This window comes from Homo sapiens, chromosome 13 (genome assembly GCF_000001405.40).
Source record: "Homo sapiens chromosome 13, GRCh38.p14 Primary Assembly".
Classification (NCBI taxonomy): domain Eukaryota; kingdom Metazoa; phylum Chordata; class Mammalia; order Primates; family Hominidae; genus Homo; species Homo sapiens.
Window position 1 is genome coordinate 45273328 of NC_000013.11, and position 21449 is coordinate 45294776.

General features: G+C 42.7%; 1 protein-coding gene across 3 annotated transcripts in view; it reads left to right on the forward strand.

Moving 5' to 3' along the window:
• Positions 1-11566, forward strand: part of GTF2F2 (general transcription factor IIF subunit 2) — a 164384-nt gene extending 152818 nt beyond the window's left edge. For all 3 annotated transcript variants that reach the window (XM_011535052.4, NM_004128.3, XM_017020551.2), the window contains one exon: positions 10115-11566. In XM_011535052.4, the coding sequence (XP_011533354.1) occupies positions 10115-10234 (120 nt within the window). In that variant the 3' untranslated portion in view covers positions 10235-11566. The remainder of the gene's footprint in view (positions 1-10114) is intronic.
• Positions 11567-21449: the final 9883 nt, after the last annotated feature.

Sequence of the window (21449 nt, forward strand, 5' to 3'; positions counted from 1 at the left end):
AGCCTCCAGAAGTGCTGAGATTGCAAGCATGAGCCACAGCATTTGGCCCTTGTTTGTTTTTTACCTCATCCTGAATGAGGTGAAATTTGGGGTGAATTTAGTAATATAAACAAATGAGTCAGAATTTTACGTAAGGTATTACATGGATAAGAGCAATATCTGGGATAGGTACCCAGTAAACAAAATTTGGTATTTATTTATATAGAATTTACGTTGAAATTTTAATTAAGCAATAGGCCACAAAAATTATATTTTCTGAAAAATGCCCTTACCAATAAAATCTCCATACCATCCTTCCAGTCCCACTTGATTTTAAAGAGTGGTAAAATTTTTTTTTTTTTTTTTGAGACGGAGTCTTGTTCTGTGGCCCAGGCTGGAGTGCAATGGCGCGATCTCGGCTCACTGCAACCTCCACCTCCCTGGTTCAAGCGATTCTCCTGCCTCAGCCTCCTGAGTAGCTGGGATTACAGGTGCCCGCCACCATGCCCAGCTAAAATTTTTAAGCTTATTAACTGTCTGCTGCTGGTTTCTTCATTTAGTTCCTGAACACGCTAGAAAGACTTGGTTTTGGGCTTGCCATCTCTATGGAAATAATTTCCCTCGGGAAAGAAATAATTTTCTTTGTGTTGGGCTCTGCGTTTAAGAAAACATTATTCTGTGGTGTTGGATCGGTGTTCGAAGCCTCCCATTTCTCTGAGCAGGTGGATTCAGATACCAGAGGATAAACCAACTGGCAGAGGACCTTGTACTGCCAGCACTGGCCTTCTTCACTTCGGTATTGCAGCATTACAGAGCCATTTCTTTCTTTTTCAAATGTCCCAAGACAGCGAGTTCAATTATACATTAACATGCAGAGCCAGCCACTGTTTATTGGATATATTACATTACCCAGATAATTGGATAATAAAAATAGTCATCTTAATTTGTTTTATAAGCTGAAGCAGCCTCCCTTTTTCCTCTCAATTTAAAACCTTTTATTTTTAGTACAAATTATACTTTTTTTTTTTTTTTTTTTTTGAGATGGAGTCTCGCTCTGTCACCCAGGCTGGAGTGCAGTGACGCAGTCTTGGCTCACTGCAACGTCCGCCTCCCAGGTTCAGGCAATTCTCCTGCCTCAGCCTCCCGAGTAGCTGGGATTACAGGCACATGCCACCACACCTAGCTAATTTTTTTGTATAATTTTAGTAGATACCGGGTTTCACTGTATTAGCCAGGATTATCTCAATCTCCTGACCTCGTGATCCGCCCACCTTGACCACCTAAAGTGTTGGGATTACAGGCATGAGCCACCACGCCCGACCAAATTATACTTTCTTAAAGTGTGTAGTTCAGGCCAGATGTGTTGGCTCATACCTATAACCCCCAGCACTTTGGGAAGCTAAAGCAGGCAGATCACTTGAGTCAAGGAGTTCGAGACCAGCCCTGGGCAACATGGCAAAATCCTGTCTCCACAAAAAACACAAAAATTAGCCAGGCATGGTGGCATGTGCCTATAGTTCCCGGCTACTTGGGAGGCAGAGGTTGTAGTGAGCCCAGATCGTGCCACTGTACCCCAGCCTGAATGACAGAGGGAGACCCTGTCTCAAAAAAAAAAAAGTGTAGTTCAGTGGACTTTAGTATATTCATAGAGTTGTGCAACCAACACCATAATCAATTTTAGAACATTTCCATTGCCCTAAAAAGAAACTTCATACCCATTACTAGTCACTCCTGTCTTTTCCCCATTTCCTTTCTCTCCCCTACAGGGAACCACTAATGTTACTTTCTGTCTCTGTAGATTTTCTCTGGATATTAATATATATGGATATGTGATTTCTTACACCTGGCTTCTTTAACTTAGACATAATATTTTTATGTTTTATCCATGTTGTGGCACACATCAGTACAGCTGTCCTCAGTATGAGAGATTGGCTCCAGGACCTTCTGCAAATACCAAAATCCAAGTATGATCAAGTTCTGGATATAAAATGGTGTTTATTATTATTATTATTATTATTTAAGTTCTAGGGTACATGTGCACAATGTGCAGGTTTGTTACATATGTTTACATGTGCCATGTTGTTGTGCTGCACCCATTAACTCATCATTTACATTAGGTGTATCTCCTAATGCTATCCCTCTCCCCTCCCCCCACCCCACGACAGGCCCTAGTGTGTGATATTCCCCTTCCTGTGTCCAAGGGTTCTCATTGTTCAATTCCCACCTATGAGTGAGAACATGCGGTATTTGGTTTTCTGTCCTTGAGATAGTTTGCTCAGAATGATGGTTTCCAGCTTCATCCATGTCCCTACAAAGGACATGAACTCATCCTTTTTTATGGCTGCAGAGTATTCCATGGTGTATATGTGCCACATTTTCTTAATCCAGTCTATCATTGATGGACATTTGGGTTGGTTCCAAGTCTTTGCTATTGTGAATAGTGCTGCAGTAAACATACGTGTGCATGTGTCTTTATAACAGCATGATTTATAATCCTTTGGGTATATACCCAGTAATGGGATCACTGGGTCAAATGGTATTTCTAGTTCTAGATCCTTGAGGAATCGCCACACTGTCTTCCACAATGGTTGAACTAGTTTACAGTCCCACCAACAGGGTAAAAGTGTTCCTATTTCTCCACATCCTCTCCAGCATCTTTTTTTATACATAACCTACATGCATCCTCCAGTATACTTTAAATCTTTAGATTACTTATATAATATAATGTAAATGCTATGTAAATAATTGTTATACTATATTGCTGAGGGAATAGTGACCCAAAAAAGTTTGTGTATGTTCAGTACAAATGCATTAAGAAAAGAATCAGAAGATTTTTGATCTGCCATTAGTTGAATCCATGGACTTGTAACGCAAGAATATGGAAGGCTGATTGTACTTCATTTCTTTTTATTTGCAAATATATATCATAGTGTGTATATACCATATTTTGTTTATACATTGGTACATTTGGGTTGGACATTTGCATTGTTTCTACGTTGGGACTATTATGAATAAGGCTGCTATGAACATTTGCCTACAAATTTTCATATGAATATATGTTTTCATTTCTCTTGGGAGTGGAATTGTTCGGTCACATGGTAACTTTGTTTAGCCTTCTGAGGAACTGCTAGACTTTTTTTTTTTTTTGAGATGGAGTCTCGCTCTTACCACCCATCCTGGGGTGCAATGGCATGATCTCGGCTCACTGCAACCTCTGCCTCCCGAGTTCAAGTGATTCTCCTGCCTCAGCTTCCCAAGTAGCTGGGACTACAGGTGCCTGACACCATGCCTGGCCAATCTTTTGTATTTTTTTTAGTAGAGAAGGGATTTCGCCATGTTGGCCAGGCTGGTCTCGAGCTCCTGACCTCAGGTGATCCACCTGCCTCGGCCTCCCAAAGTGCTGGGATTACAGGCATGAGCCACCGCGCCCGGCCTAATACAGTTTAGAAGCATGTCTTTAAACAAAGTTAAAAGGTTTAGCCTAAAGAAAGTAAATTTTGTTTACCTGAAATATTCAAGCATGTGAAGCATTTGTCAGTGCTGGATAGAGGAGATGTTACTAAAGTGAGATAATTTACCAGCACACAAATATTAACGCAATAATTGCTTTTTCAAGGTTTGGATTAAGCAGTAAAGTAGGGCTGGGGGAAGGTGGAGTAGGGTTTGCACCTTGACCATTTCATCACCCATCTGTGTGCTGCTTAGAGTTTTTACAGGGAGGAATGGAGACCCTGAGTGGAAGATAGGAGGCGGGATCTAGTGGGGAAGAGGAAGTGAAACCAGGAGAAAAGAAGAAAAATGCAGAAATGGTCTGTGTTTCAGAGAAGTTTCCTAGCATCGCCTTTCCTCTAAATGAGGGAAAATGTCTGTTGCATTTTCTGTATTAGGCCATTCTTGCATTGCTCTAACAAAATACCTGAGACTGGGTAATTTATAAAGAAGAGATTTAATTGGCTCATGGTTCTGCAGGCTGTACGGGAAGTATGATGCTGGCATCTGCTCAGCTTCTGGGTAGGCCACAGGAAACTCACAGTCATGGTGGAAGCATGTCACATGGCAAAAGCAGGAGTGAGAGAGTGAGGCAGGACATGCTACACACTTTTAAACGACTAGATGGCAAGAGAACTCACTCACTATCTCGAGGATAGTACCCAGAGGGATGGTGCTAATTCATGAGAGTTCCGTCCCCATGATCCAATCACCTCTCCCCAGGCCTCACCTCCAACACTGGGGATTACATTTCAATATGATATTTTCATGAGGACACACATCCAAACTATATCACGTTTGATCACAGTTTCTTCCTAATGTGTAGTTTATATTTTAACAGAAGAATGTTTTGCCTTGAAGTCACTAACATCTTCATCAGTAAGTTTTCATTCTGTTGATATCTCTTAAAGGAGTTGCAGTCATTCACACAAAAATCATGTAAAGATGAAATGATACTTTGAAATTATCACAGAATCGATAATGCCCTTCTTGTGGTTGGATCACTTTATAAAAAGCATATAGTGCATTTTCCTTTGTCAGCTGCATTAATCAGTGCCATCATCAGTGTAAGTTTGCATATTGAATATTCAGTCTCACCATTTTGGGAAGATTTTGTGACTGGAAGACTAACAGGGTCATATTGTTAACTTACTTAAAGCATTAGTAGTTGGTGATCATCTCCCTGTCAAAGGTGTATGTTTTTAATGAACATCTACAAATTTAGATATAATTGATTTATTATTATGCTTATCACTGAAATGCATGATAAGATGAAATGCAGATTAAGTCCTCCATTTGTTTGACAGAGCAGGAGAAGAAAAGATGATATGAGAAATGGTAGGGGGTGGAGGGACGGAAGGAAGGAGCAAAAGACTAAAATAATAGGCTACTGTGCCTTATGACTATAGGTTTGTCTCAGTCTTGGGGGCCAATTAGGATGTTGATCCATGGACTTCTGGCTTTTTGCCCACCGCAGTTTTAACTTGACCCACAAATGCAAACAAACATCCTAATCACTTGACCTCTTTGATCAAGTATGTGCCTTGCCATTTCCTTCCAAGAAAGCTGTGATGTTCTATCCCTTATTTCTCTGCATTCAGACTTGCCGTAAATTCTCTCCCACACATCCTTTTGATGAAGAATTGCTGGACCTGAGCCAGTTTATTCAGATCTTGTGCTGCAGCTTGGCACATAGTCTGTAATAAGACATATCCCCAATCCTATGTGACATAAAAGTGATCTACTCAGTTCTAGAATCCTCTGTTTCAAATACAGGTGGTTAGACAAAAGATTTAATTGGAAAGTCACTCAGTGTTTAAGTAAGAGGAGGAGAACTCCTTTCTCTAGATCTCTACACAGAATTGCTGTTCAAATCGAATGATCAAATATCTATCCTCAAAGAACCTAACATCTCTATGCGGGCTGTGTTAGGTGCCCCCTTCTCAGTGGTCTCATAATACCCTGTACACATGCCTCTGTTATATTTTCTGATTACCTGCCAATTTGCCTTTTTCTTTTTCTTTTTTTTTTTTTTTTTTTTTTTTTGAGGTGGAATCTTGCTCTGTTGCCCATGCTGGAGTACAGTGGTGCGATCTCAGCTCACTACAACCTCCACCTCCTGGGTTTAAGTGATTATCCTGCCTCAGCCTCCTGAATAGCTGGGACTACAGGGGCCTGCCACCACGCCCAGCTAATTTTTGTAATTTTGGTAGAGACGAGGTTTCTCCATGTTGGCCGGCTGGTCTTGAATTCCTGACCTCAGGTGATCCACCCGCCTCAGCCTCCCAAAGTGCTGGGATTACAGGCGTGAGCCATCACACCCGGCGTAATATGCCTTTTTCTTTGCCCCCATCCTCTGCACTAATCTTAAACTGTGAACTCTGAGAGGAAGACTGAGTGTCTACCATTCCACCTGGCACATTGTAGGTGCTGGAATAAATGTTTGAGTGAATATATGAATGTTAAAAAGAGAAATAAGATTACCAAGTAATTTTCAATCCTGGTAGAACCTTTAAAACCTCTTCTTCAGTTGGCTCTGTCACCAACAATATTTTAGCACTAAAATGCAGATTTTAGTAATAAGTGACATTCAAATTCACGTAGTACAGTTTAGTCAGTAAACTTTGTTTCTCAAACTAGATCACTGCTTGAGTTCTAAAACTGAACTAGAATTTGAATGGTCTATTTTTATGGACCTTCTTAGTGATATCCCCACCACCACCCAGCAGTCCTCTTAGCTGCCTTGTTAGTCTTAAGCACGCCTTATTCACTTTGCATAAGTACACTGAGTCTCTGTGATGTGCACGCAGGCACTATAACAGGAGCATGTGGCCGGGCGCGGTGGCTCATGCCTGTAATCCTAGCGCTTTGGGAGGCCGAGGCGGGTGGATCACGAGGTCAGCAGTTCAAGACCAGCCTGGCCAACATGGAGAAACTCCGTCTCTCCTAAAAATACAAAATTAGCCAGGCGTGGTGTCACATGCCTGTAATCCCAGCTACTCGGGAGGCTGAGGCAGGCGAATCACTTGAACCCAGTAGGCAAAAGTTGCAGTGAGCCAAGATCATGCCATTGCACTCCAGCCTGGGCAACGAGAGTGAAACTCTGTTCCCACCGTCCCCCCGCCCCCCCCAAAAAAGGAGCATGTGATTTAAGAGGAGAGCAAGGCATATAAATAAAGGATTATAATATAATAAGAGCTACCATCGAAGGTTGTGCGGTGTGAAATGTAAATCTAAGGTAAGGCTGTTAGAGAAAGTTTCTCTGAGAAAGTAACATTTGAGCCTAGTCTTAAAGAATGAGGGGTCCAGATTTGAGGAAAGGAGATAAACGTTACAAGGAAGGGAAACAACATATGGGAAAAACCCAGAAGCACGCAGATGCAGAAATGGGAAGCATGCGTGAGGGGGAGTGTTGGAAGATGAGGCTAAAGGGAGAAGGCAGACCTGAGTGGATGCCTACAAAGGCGTTTGGAATTTAATGTGTAGCCCAAACGGGGAAGTCATTAGAATATTTTAGACAGAGGAAGGACATGTGCTCTTTCTGTTCTCTGTCCATGTCTTCCCTTTAGAGATTTTCCCTTCAGAGACCTTGTTTTTCCCTATCGTCACTACTACTTTCTCTGCTAATGTTTTATACCTACTTCCCTGCCAAGCTAATTTATTTGATTAGAGTAAAATGGTCTTAGGTTGCAGTTTAGAACATCCTAAAAATCAGGAAGTTTGTGTCCCCTACCCCCTGATCACAGTACATTGTGACCCTGATTGCATTTTGTTGCTTGAGAAATTGACTGACTATGGTCATCTCATTCCATTCTTATTGTTACAAGGAAAAAAGAATGACACCTTCGTTTATAAAAAGAATTCCATATGTTCTACTAGATTGCCAAAATGAGGGTGGACATGAAAACAACTGAATTTGTACACTTCAGACTTTATTAATATTTTTTGTTTAACCCTTTTTAGGATTTTCATTTTCTGGGCCTAGATTATAAATGGGCACACTAGACTTGAAGTCAGGAGAGCTTCTTTTCTATGGAGCTACTAAAATGCTCCTGGCAATTGTTCTTTTCATTTTTGACCCATTGCAGTGCATCCACAATTGTATGGTTGTTTGTGCAACATCGTCTTAGCCAGTCTCATAATAAACCATTCTTTGGAATTTTACAAAGATGTCATTCTTGGCACCTAAACAGAGAATCATTTGTGCCTAACCAATCATTTTCCATTTATGAATCCTGTTCAATTAGAAAGTAGTTTATGAACAGTGTCCTGTTTTTTAAATGTAATTTGAAATAGCAGGTGGCAGACTTGCATTTTATATTACCTAGATATCTCAAGCCTTTATGCTTACTCATTCACACGGGTCTGCTAGTGAAGCCAACTGTATAAGGTGTGGGAGGTAGGCAAGCCTCGGGGGAACCCAGGGCTCATTTGGTTCATTGCTGCCATCTGCTGGGGCTTGGCTGCTGGCATGGGAAGGCTGCCCACGAGAGAGCTGAGCCATCCTGAAGGAACCTCTGTATACTTCCAGTACTAATCAGCTATTATGTTTCTAGGTGACAACCTACCCCTAACTAAAAGGACTTTATGAACTCTAGAGCATTATATCAGTCAGTGTAAAGTGGCATTAGATTATGTTGGTAACACGTACTCTACAGCAAACATGAGGCTCAGAGAACGAAGCAACACACTAAGGACTCAAAGATCCTAGAGTATCAGAACTGGAAGAACCTTAAGCCAGATGTGGTGGAACTTTAGTATATAGTTACATGAGTCGCCTAGGCACTTGTTAAAATGCAGATTCCTGGGCCTAGCCCAAGAGACTTTGATTCAGTAGGCCCAAGCTGTGTCTCATTTAACAAGCTCCCCACAGGGTTCTGATGCAGGTGGTCTAGCACCATGCTAGAGAAAAGCACTACCTTAAATATACAGACAAGAGCTTCTCAGCCATTTTTCTTATTAATGCCTCACTTCAATCAATAAGAAAAATTACATCTTCCATCAATGGGATGAGTCATCATCATACCGTAACTAGTTCTTTGAAGCACACGCACACAAATTATTGTTGGATTGCTTTGTTCTGCAACAACAACAAAAGAGTCGCTTTTAAATAATTATCTTGGCTGGGTGCAGTGGCTCAGGCCTGTAATCCCAGCACTTTGGGAGGCCGAAGTGGGTGGATCACCTGAGGACAGGAGTTCGAGACCAGCCTGGCCAACATGGTGAAACCCCATCTCTACTAAAAATACAAAAAATTTAGCTGGGCGTGGTGGCATGCGCCTGTAATCCCAGCTACTTGGGAGGAGGCAGGAGAATCGCTTGAACCTGGGAGGCGGAGGTTGCAGAGAGCCGAGATCATGCCACTGCACTCCAGCTTGGGCAACAAGAGCAAAACTCCATCTCAAAATAATAATGATAATAATAATTAATATTATTATCTTTCCTTTCTTCTCCAAGAAGGAAATTCTGTAATTTATATTGGTCAGCTTATTGTGGAATGCTTTTTGGCCTTCAGCATTGGCAAGCAAAGGTCTAGTTTCATATTACACTTAACATAGCCATCATTTCCATGACCATAGTAATCATTTAGTAAATGTTTATTGAATTTTTAGGGACCTAAAACACCATAATATGACTCTTTTCTTTGGAGAAGCCAAACACAAGGCTGCATCCCTGATAGTTTTAGGGGATGTCTTCTTATCACTTTATTTATTTATTTGTTTTTTGAGACAGAGTTTCACTGTTGTTGCCCAGGCTAGAGTGCAATGGCACAGTCTCAGCTCACTGCAACCTCTGCCTCCTGGGTTCAAGTGATTCTCCTGCCTCAGTCTCTCTAGTAGCTGGGATTACAGGTTCCCACCACCATGCCTGGCTAATTTTTGTATTTTTAGTAGAGACGGGGTTTCACCATGTTGGCCAGGCTGGTCTCGAACTCCTGACCTTAGGTGATCTGCCCACTTCAGCCTCCCAAAGTGTTGGGATTACAGGCGTGAGCCACCAAGCCCGGCCTTATTATCACTTCTTACTCCCTTATCTGTGTTGGCAAGCTTGGCTAAAGTACAAATAGTAGTAAATACAAATAACAACTCTCCTTCTCACATAGGAAAAAATAAGTGGGTGGCCTAAAAACAAATTTGAGAACTCACCTTAGAACTGAGAATTCTGAATACCTGTCATATGCCTGCTTGATAGAATATTCTCAAAAATGTTGCTCATTTTTTTTATATGCTACTGCTCCTGAAACTACTGGTTTCAATCTGTGAACTGAGTCCCATGAGGCCACTGAACTCAAGGGCAGATTACCCTTGGTGTACCGTGTCACACTGAGTGAGGACCAGTAATTTTTTCGTGTATTTCATGTAGTGTTTTTTGTGTTTTTTTTGTTTGTTTGTTTTAGCTTTTAAGTTGTTGGCATTCAGGACTTTCAACTCCTTTAATGCACATGATCATATATTTAGTGCAGTTACCATGTCGCACATGTAGAATCAAAAGGCAGTTTATTGAACCTCCTTATAGAGAAATCTTGCTGAGCTTTTAGGATCATAATTTTTATGGCTTGCATATGTGCTTTGGCATATCATCTTATTTTAAGTTTTGTCCCCTGCATTTATAATCTCATTTGTTAGGGGTTTTGTTTTTGTTTTAGGTGTACCTGAAGGAAATCTTAAAAGAAATTGGTGTTCAGAATGTAAAAGGGATCCACAAAAACACATGGGAGCTGAAGCCAGAGTACAGACACTATCAAGGAGAAGAAAAGAGTGACTAAGAAGACTCCTAGCCAGCATGCTAGTGAAACGACTAGCAGCGATGCTATGCAAAAGGCGCTGATACTGGAAGGCTTGAACACCGTATGTTAATAGGGGTTAAGTGACAGTACTTTGATTTCTCTCGGTAAATTTTTTAAACCTGTAATTCTTGTAAAGTTTCTTAACTGTTTTTTTGAGGAGAAAGAACAGATTTATTTATAGACTTAACTTGTATTAAACCAGATTATTCACAGTAGGAATAGGGGTTGGAGGATTAAGAGGGTTTTTCTTAAATATTAGCTTTTAATGTGTACAATTAGGAAATTTTTTTAAGTGAGGACTCTCTACCCTTGCCGTATCTAAGGAGCTGAGGTAATACAGATCCAAGGAGAATTGTATAGCAAGAAAAAAACAGTCAACTACAGAAACTCTTAAAAGGAATAAAAACCCAAAGTTCCTTATTTTGAAATTGTCAAAGAACAAAGCGGTGTTTTTCTTTTAAACAGGTGATCACGTTTCGTGTTCATACTCAACGTTAATAAAAGGAGAGAGTTTGTAGTGAAATGGCAGTGTTCATCATTGGCTTATTTTACCGTAGTGATGCTGAGATGAGAAATGTGCAGGATCATGGTCAGTTGATGTTTCTTTTATTTGCTTTTAAGATAATTAGAAATTAAATATCTTTCCAAAATTTGAAGATATGTCTCCCCCAGTCAGATTATAAGCTTCTCAAAACTGGCTTGCCCCCAGAATTTTACTGCTTACCCAGCAGACATGTATTGACCATCACATGGCAAATGATATCAGCAAATCAAAAGATGGGCGTAGGGGTCCAGCCGAGACAGAAAACGTTAGTTTCAATTCCTGGGGCATTAAAATGTTGCTTTTCTCTTTCTCTTTAATTAATTTTTAAATGAAAACAATACATGTATATGTTAGTTTTTTCTAGCACAACACAATATTATATATTAAGCGATCCAAAATCATACTGTCAAGACCATCAAACAAAACAAAGAAGCTTAAGTGAACTAAGCACAGGGAAAAGTTGTTTTTTCACTCGTTCATTTTGTCATCTGCTTCTAGATGCTGCAATCAAGAAGTAGCAAATGCCCAAGTTGCCATAGTGTTTGCAGGAAAAAAAGAGAAAAAATAATAAAAATAAGGAAGGAGCAATGCCAAAAATTGAAGAAAATATTATATAATTAAAGCAAGAAGATATCTATCCATTGAGAAAAACAATTTTTATATTATTTGCTTTTAGCAGCAAAGCATTAGAATTCTGAGATTGTTATAGCACTAAGAAGATTTTTATTCTGTGTACACACTGAAAAATAAAATTCTGAGTAAAGAAAGTGTTCCCATTCCCCACTCCACCTCAGATTTTCTTATGTACAGGCACCAAATGTGGTATGCCCATCACCTTCTAGTTCCTGATGACTGGAAGCTCTGTGTCAGGAAGCCCGTGGATAATGGTCTGATAAATCTATATAGAACTGAGGATTCTGGATACCTGCCATGTGCTTGGTTCATAGCATGTATCTTCCCCAAAACCTTGTTTTTTTATATATTTGGTACTGCCCTGAAACAGACTGTGTCTCCTCTGCTGATGTCTTTTGTTTTGGGGACAGTGCCTGCCATATTGAACGAGGTGGCTGTGCCACAAGAGTTCCCAGGGCAGAGCTGTGTCTTATTTGAAGCTGTGCTTTGGTTTTTTTGTAAACTGGTTTTTTCTGCTTCTTTTAGTTGCCTGTTACCTCAGCACACCTGATTGCATGAGCTTGAGTCTCTTAAACACTTATCTCTTCAGTAGGATACATAATTTAGGTGCTAGACTGATGCTGTTTCTGATTACGTTTTTGTTTGTTTGTTTGTTTGTTTTTGAGACAGAGTCTTGCTCTCTGTTGCCCAGGCTGGAGTGCGGTGGTGGTGTGATCTTGGCTCACTGCCACCTCTGTCTCCCAGGTTCAAGCGATTCTTCTGCCTCAGCCTCCCAAGCAGCTGGGATTACAGGCGCATGCCACCACACCCGGCTAATGTTCGCATTTTTAGTAGAGACGGGGTTTCACCTTGTTGGCCAGGCTGGTCTTGAACTCCTGACCTCAAGTGATCTGCCCACCTCAGCCTCCTAAAGTGCTGGGATTACAGGTGTGAGCCACCGCACCTGGCTTAAATTGCTTTCTTATTTAATGTTAAAATGTGGGTGCTGGCCATGGAGGAGGTTTTCCCTTCCACCCAGGTTCCCTTATTCTTTTATTTCAGGACTCTCTTACTCTGACAAACAGACTTTTGACAAAGATCAATAAGTAGGAATCCTAAACCCTTATAAACTGTGAGAGTGAAAGGAAGACAGATAAAGAAGATGCACACTTCTGGTAAGATGTCACATCATAAGACAGGAAGGCCATATTTTTTTCTTTTTTGAGACAGATTCTCGCTCTGTCGCCCAGGCTGGAGTGCAGTGGTGTGATCTGGGCTCACTGCAAGCTCCGCCTCCTGGGTTCACGCCATTCTCCTGCCTCAGCCTCCGTTGTAACTGGGACTACATGCGCCCGCCACCATACCCAGCTAATTTTTTTGTATTTTTAGTAGAGATGGGGTTTCACCATGTTAGCCAGGATGGTCTCAATCTCCTGTCCTCATGATCCACCTGCCTCAGCCTCCCAAAGTGCTGGGATTACAGGCAAGCCACTGCTTCCGGCCAGGAAGGCCATATTTAATAAATGATATTGTTAAACTCAACTGATACACTGAGGGGATGCTTTAAGTGACAAAATATAATAAAATTATAGTTGTGGCTGGCCATGGTGGCTCATGCCTGTAATCCCAGCATTTTGGGAGGCTAAGGCAGGCAGATCATGAGGTCAGGAGTTTGAGAAAAGCCTGGCCAACATGATGAAACCCCAACTCTACTAAAAATACAAAAATAAGCCAGGTGCAGTGGCAGGCACCTGTAACCCAGCTACTTGGGAGGCTGAGGCAGGAGAATTGCTTGAACCCAGGAGGCAGAGGTTGCAGTGAGCCGAGATCTCGCCACTACACTCCAGCCTGGGTAACAGAGCAAGACTCCGTCTTGGATGGGCGAGAGGGGAGATATAGTTGCTGGGCATTGGAAAGATTTGAAATTACATGTTACCACAATAACTTCTTTTTTTTTTGAAACGGAGTTTCGCTCTTGTTGCCCAGGATGGAGTGCAATGGCGCAGTCTCGGCTCACCATAACCTCCACCTCCCAGGTTCAAGCGATCCTCCTACCTCAGCCTCCCGAGTAGCTGGGATTACAAACATGCGCCACCACGCCCAGCTAATTTTTTGTATTTTTTAGTAGAGACAGGTTTTCTCCATGTTGGTCAGGCTGGTCTCGAACTCCGGACCTCAGGTGATCTGCCCACCTCAGCCTCCCAAAGTGCTGGGATTACAGGCGTGAGCCACTGCACCCAGCTACCACAGTAACTTCTAAAGTGATAGATCTGCTGGGTGCAGTGGCTCACGCCTGTAATCCCAACACTTTGGGAGGCCAAGGCGGGCAGATCACCTGAGGTCAGGAGTTCAAGACCAGCCTGGCCAACATGGTAAAACCCTGTCTCTACTAAAAATACAGAAATCAGCTGGGCATGGTGGTGCAAGCCTGTAATCCCAGCTACTTGGGAGACTGAGGCAGGAGAATCACCTGAACCTGGGAGGTTTCAGTGAGCCAAGATGGCACCACTGCACTCCAGCCTGGGCGACAGAGCAAGACTCCATCTCCAAAAAAAAATAAAAAATAAAAGTGATAGATCTTTAAAAAGGGAACAGATTGCACTCTTTTATATCATGAGCAGTACTTATGGATTTCAGCACAAGTACAACTGTTTCTAATGGTCTGTGAGCAAATTTCTTTGGAAGCTTATTTTCATCATTGTTGGTACATATCAGTGAAATAATAGTAAACACTTATCAGGCCATATGTGCCTAATAGTATGGTAAGTAGTGTAAAATATTATCTCATTTGATCCTCACAGTGCTGAGTGGTAAGTAATGTCCATTTTATGGAACCATTTCCTGCCTAGCATACCATCGTGAGTACTGGTTCCTCTTGGGAGGAATTCTACCCATGGCCAAAATCAGAGTCTACTTTCCCAGAATTCTCTCTCCCCACCCCATCTCACCTCCAAACCAAGAAAATGGAGCTGATCCCAGCAAAATTGTGAAGGAATGGGAGTTTGTCTTTGTTACCCCTCCTTGAATCCTGACACCCGAACTCCTCCTAGCCACAGGATGAAGACTAAACTTCCACCCTCCTTAAATCCTGACACCCAAACTCCTCCTATCCACAGGATGAAGAATAAACTTCCACCTTTAGAGTCAAGATCCTTTCGCTAACAATGTAATCTCTGTGACATTTAAGTACCTTGTAGAGGCCAGGCACAGTGGCTCACACCAGTAATCCCAGCGCTTTGGGAGGCCGAGGCGGGTGGATCACACAAGGTCAAGAGATTGAGACCATCCTGGCCAACATGGTGAAACCCCGTCTCTACTAAAAATACAAAAATTAGCTGGGCATGGTGGTGTGCGCCTGTAGTCCCAGCTACCCGGGAGGCTGAGGCAGGAGAATCACTTGAACCCAGGAAGCAGAGGTTGCAATGAGCCGAGATCGCGCCACTGCACCCCAACCTGGCGACAGAGCGAGTCTCCGTCCCGCCGCAAAAGAAAGTACCTTGTAGAGAGTGCAGCTTTAGAGTGGACTCTATGATTTAGACCTCTGCATGGTTGAGGCTCCCAATGCAGTTGTGTTGTGGGGAGGGGTGCTGGGCTGAGAGGGGAGCTGCAGACATCACCTGCTGCAGATCACCTTCACCGCATTGGCCGTTTTCCCTAGCATTTGTGTGAGAGAGTCCAGGAGATGATAAAGTGGCTCTCTTTTTTATTTTGTTTGCCCTTTTTTCTTTTTCTTTTTCTTTTTTTTTCCTGACACAGGGTTTCACTTTTGTTGCCTGGGCTGGAGTACAGTGGTGCAGTCTCGGCTCACTGCAACCTCCACTTCCTGGGTTCAAGTGATTCTCCTGCTTCAGCCTCCCGAGTAGCTGGGATTACAGGTGCCCACCACCACACCTGGCTAATTTTTGTATTTTTGGAAGAGACGGGGTTTCACCATGTTGGCCAGGCTGGACTCCTAACCTCAAGTGATCTGCCTGCCTCGGCCTCCCAAAGTGCTCGGATTAGTTTCTCTGACGTGAGTCCAGAGAAAGTTCCTGAGCCTGATATCATTTTCTTTTTTATTTTTAAAGAGATGGTGTCTCACTAATGTCACACAGGCTGGAGTGCAGTGGCAGGATCATGGCTCACTGCAGTCTCAAACTCCTGGGCTCAAGCAATCCTCTCATCTCAGCCTCCCAGGTAGTTGGGACTACAGGCATGCACTACCATGCCTGGCTACTTTTTTAAAACGTTTTTTGTAGAGATGGGGTCTCACTGTGTTGTCCAAGCTGTTCTCAAACTCCTGGGCTCAATTGATTCTCCTACCTCAGCCTCCCAGAGTGCTAGGATTGCAGACATGAGCCGCTGTGCCTGACTTAATGTCATATTTTATTTTATTTTATTTTTTTGAGACGGGATCACTCTGTCGCCCAGGCTGGAATGCAGTGGCGCAGTATCAGCTCACTGCAACCTCCACCTCCCGGGTTCAAGCAGTTCCCTCCCTCACCCTCCCAAGTAGCTGGGATTACAGGCACCCGCCACCACGCCCAGCTAATTTTTGTTTTTTTTAGTAGAGATGGGGTTTCACCATGTTAGCGAGGATGGTCTCGATTTTTTGACCTTGTGATCCACCCACCTCGCCCTCCCAGAGTGCTGGGATTACAGGCGTGATTACAGGTTGCAGTGAGCCAAAATTGTGCCACTGCACTCCAGCTTGGGCAACAGAGGGAGACTCCATCTAAAAAAAAAAGAAAAGCAGGGGCTTTTAGCTGATTGTGTTACAAACTGTAAATTTTTATTTTTTTTTGAGACGGAGTCTCACTCTGTCCCCCAGGCTGGAGTGCAGTGGCGCCATCTCGGCTCACTGCAAGCTCTGCCTTGTGGGTTCACACTATTCTCCTGCCTCAGCCTCCCAGGTAGGTGGGACTACAGGCACCGGCCACCATGCCTGGCTAATTTTTTGTATTTTTAGTAGAGACGGGGTTTCACTGTGTTAGCCAGGATGGTCTCGATCTCCTGACCTCATGATCCATCTGCCTCAGCCTCCCAAAGTGCTGGGATTACAGGCGTGAGCCACCGTGCCCGGCCTAGAAACTGTAAATTTAAAAGGACTTTGCAGATGCGTTAGCTTTCAGTTTAACTGAGTTCTATTAAGTCATTTAGTCTAAAATATTAGGGCTTTCAAGAATGATTTTCTTGTGTACCGTATTTTTAAATGTTGAAACTTATATTTAAGTGGTCTCAAGGGTATAAGTTTTTTTATTGTGTTGTAGAAGTGTGAGTTCACCAAAAGAATATGTTTCTGGACTAAAAACTATAATCTGGTTTGGTCATGAAACACAATGGCTATTTGTTTGGGAAGTATTTACTAAGCATGACTGTATCTCAGGCACTAGAGACACAAAAGCACTAGACATAAGCATTCACAATCTAGTGGGAAATGCAGCTGTGGATGGGTAACAATACCGTGTAGGTACAGAAGTGCAAATGAAGTGTTGCTCTCCATGAGAAGACTCTAGTTAATTCATTGTTGCCACTTGTGCTCTTCATGGATTTCCAGTGTTTCAGGTATTTGAATGCAGTAACGTATACTTAATTTTAAAACCTCATTGAATATAATTTAATCATTGATAATTCTTAAGACACAAAAGGATTTATACAGTGCCTCAGGCTGATCTATTATGAACACACAGTGGATGTCTGTAATACAACGATCTCAATAGAATGTTGAATTAAGAGCTTACTGGGCTGGTCCTCTTGACATTTAAGCTTTACTTCTGATTACCATTCCAGTGTATTTCCTTGAACAAAAGCCTGTCAACCACTTTGCCATTTATTTATTCAGTGAAAAATCATTGCTGCCAGGCACGGTGGCCAGCACTTTGGGAGGCCAAGGTGGGTGGATCGCCTGAGGTCGGGAGTTCGAGATCAGCCTGACCAACATGGAGAAACCCCATCTCTACTAAAAATACAAAATTAGCCAGGCGTGGTGGCACATGCCTGTAATCCCAGTTACTCAGGAGGCTGAGGCAGGAGAATTGCTTGAACCCAGGAGGCGGAGGTTGTGGTGAGCTGAGATCGCACCATTGCACTCCAGCCTGGGCAACGAGAACAAAACTCCGTCTCAAAAAAACATTGCTGCCCACTGTGTGCCAGGCACAGGGGTAGAGGTGATACGTATTTGTGATAATACGTACTACCAGTTCTCTGCCTGTCTTACTAAATAAAAAGGAAGAATAATAGCTCATGTTTCTTGGACCCTTACTGTGTGTCCAGCACCATGCTAAACATTTAACTCATATAACTCATTTAATCCTCCCAGCCACCCTGTAATCTGTGTTCTCTTATTATCTGTGTTCTATCAATGTGAGTCCAGAGGCACTGAAAGGTTAAAGAACCTGCCCTTGGTCATACAGTAGAATATACAGTAGAACCTGCCCCAGGTCTAGCCAAGGAAAGGAGGCAGATCAAATCCCAGAATGGCACTGTGGAACATAGGCTCCTGGCCACCATGTGTTAGATAATGGGTGCTCCACTGCTCAGTGCCCACAGCTATCATTCACCTCCCTAGGGTTCAGTGACTCCTCACTAAATGCTGGTGGCAAAGTCTCAAGAGTTACCTTTCCTGAACCAAAAATAATTGCTTCAGGATTCTGCCTCAGTTGCTTTGCCTGTAGAGATTGGGTTTCCAGTGTTTATTTCTTTTGTAGAGTTTCTTATTATGGAATGATGTTCTGTCTTTGCTGTAGATTCAGATGAGGAGATACTTCCCATTAATGACCACAGATGGCCAGTGTATTTGATTTATTTCCATCCAAGACTCAATGACTCTCCAATGCCAGGCTCATGAGAAAATTGCCGGCTTGGGTGGTCACAGCTGGGGGTCTTTGCCATGGCCCAGTGAGCACAAAGGAAGTCCGTCAGCTTGAGACCCCCAGGTAATGGGGATACAGAGACGAACAAATAAGACAGGTCCTTGCATTTAGGGAGCTGTGGTATTGAAGAAGACTGGGAAGCAAATAAATGGCAGCATAGTGTCTTAAGTGCAGCAGTAGAAATATATGGGAGAATGTTTTAAGAGCTACCTACATTCAAAGCTTGGGACTTTGAACAAGTTGCCTACCATCAGTGCCTGTTTACTTGTCTGTGAAACCGAAATGTTAAAGAGTATCTATCTCATAGAATTGTGATGAAAATTAAATGTCAATTTAATGCTCATATATGGAACACTGCATGGCACATAAAAAGTACTTTATCAGGGTTGGCTATTATATAAAATATGGGGTAGCACAGAGAATGAAACAACTAGTTAAATTTTTGGAGAATCAGGAAAGCTTCTTAGGAGTTGGTATATGAATTGTGTTTTAAAGAAGTCTAGGAGTTCATAAAAGTCAAAGAGCAGGAAATACAGAAAGAGCAAATACAAGAGAATTCTAATAGCCTTACTTCCCCAGGTGGTTTGAATGAGAACCTGCACACACTTTCAGTGTACCTGCAGATACAGCAGATTGTAAAGGATTGTGACTTGACAAGTTAAGTATTTTCTCAGTCTAATAGAGCAACTTGGAATCAGGTAATCTGACCCTGGGCCCAAGTGGAATGGATGAGGTGTTAGGCGGGGCTAACCTCCATCAGCTCTGCACACAGGTGCAAACTGATGCCAACAACTCAATGACTCCTTTATTTGCAGCAGGCTTTTTCCTGTTGACTCATCCCTGAACACATTTCTTTAATATAGTCTAATTAGAGTAGCATTCCAAAACAGCCTGAGAGAATTATGTGTTAGAAGTTTGAGGTCCCAATCACTTACTCTCCATCACTGCAAGCTCTAATAAAGATAAATAAGGAGGAGGAGCTAAATGAGGTCAAATGATTCACCTTCTTGGTGGAGGCTCAGTAACTCCTAGCTGGACTAAAGAACCTAGCTAAGAGCTGAGGCCAAAGTGGAGAATCTCCTTATCTTTTTTCAAGCAGAGATAACGGGTCACCAACGGAAGTTGGCCTGACTTACCACTTGCAGGTGAAAAATCTGGAGTAGTTGGTCTCCCAGAGGTGTCACAGCCTAGTGTGCACACCCTGTGGGAGTGGACATAGGGGTTCAAGAACACAGCAAATACAGAATGGGAAATGGATGAACCTAACCACATCAAAATTCCCTCATACATTGTTAAGGAATGTTTGTTAACTTAGTGGACATAGAAAAGATGGACTTTTGAAAAGGCACAAATGATTGAATGGTAGCAGGCTACCAAATGAACTCTTATCCAAGTGCCTTCAAGCCTGCCTACTCCCCCAGATTCCCCTCTGGACTACCAATTACCTCCACCCCTATCCCAAAGACACAGCTGAGACATTTGTGAGCACTCGCTCAGCCATATGTTCAGACATTTGTCAGATGTTGACCTCCAAGAGACACAACTGGCATGAAACTGCCAATTAGCACTTCAGAAATAATGTTCTCTCACCAGTGATGCTAAAAGGGAAACTTCATATAAAGGAGAATATATTTGTGAAACGCATATAAAGGATTGTATCCAGACTATATAAAGGTCTCTTAAAACTTTAATAAAATAATAAAACAATTCAGTTTTAAAACAGGCAATATCCAGGCGAGGTAGAAAAAAGAAAAAAAATTAATAAATGTGAGAACATACATTTCATCAAGAAGGTATAGATGAACAAGCACATGAAAAGCTGCTCAGCATAATTGGTCATTAGAGAAATGCAAATTACAAAAGAATGCTGCATACCTATCAGAATAGCTAAAACTTTTTTTTTTTTTTTTTTTGGTGGGGAAAGGGGGTGTTTTGTTTTGTTTTTGAGACGGAGTATATCTCTGTCACCCAGGCTGGAGTGCAGTGGCACAATCTCGGCTCACTGCAACCTCTGCCTCCCCAGTTCAAGCGATTCTCCTGCCCCAGCCTCCCAAGTAGCTGGGATCACAGGCGTTCTTCACCACACCCAGCTGACTTTTGTATTTTTAGTTGAGATGGGTTTTTTTTCCATCTTGGCCAGGCTGGTCTCGAACTCCTGGCCTCGGGTGATCCGCCCACCTCAGCTTCCCAAAGTGCTGGGATTATAGGCGTGAGCCACTGCCCCCGGCCAGAATAGCTAAAACTTTAGAAACCTGACAGTGTCAAGTGCTACCGAGCATGCAGAGCAACCAGAACGCACACATGGTTCATGGAATGCCAAAGGATACCGGTTCTTTGGAAAACAGTTTGGCAGTTTATTGTAAAGTTAAACACACTACCATACGCAACCCAGCAATCCCATTCCTAGAAGCTTACCCAGGAGAAATGAAGACATATATGCACACACAAAAGCCTGTATAGAAGGATTTATAGCAGTTTTATTTATTTATTTATTTATTTATTTATTTATTTTTGATACGGAGTTTCGCTCTTGTCACCCAGGCTGGAGTGCAGTGGCACAATCTCAGCTTACTGCAACCTCCACCTCCCGGGTTCGAGTGATTCTCCAGATTTGCCCCCAGAGTAGTTGGGATTACAGACATGCGCCACCACAACCAGCTAATTTTTTTTTTTTTTTTTTTTTTTTTTTTGAGACGGAGTCTCACTCTGCCACTCGGGCTGGAGTGCAGTGGCGCAATCTCAGCTCACGGCAGCCTCTGCCTCCCAGGTTCAAGCAATTCTCTGCCTCAGCCTCCCGAGTAGCTGGGATTACAGGTGCCCACCGCCACACCTGGCTAATGTTTTGTTTTGTTTTTCTGAGACGGAGTTTCGCTCTTGTTGCCCAAGCTGGAGTGCAATGGTGCGATCTTGGCTCAACACAACCTCTGTCTCCCGGGCTCAAGCAATTCTCCTGCCTCAGCCTCCTGAGTAGCCGGGATTACAGGCATGCGCCACCACGCCTGGCTAGTTTTGTACTTTTAGTAGAGACAGGGTTTCTCCGTGTTAGGCTGGTGTCAAGCTCCCAACCTCAGGTGATCCGCCCACTTTGGCCTCCCAAAGTGCTGGGATTACGGGTGTGAGCCACTGCGCCTGGCCATTTTTTTGTATTTTTAGTAGAGATGGGGGTTTCATCAAGTTGGCCAGGCTG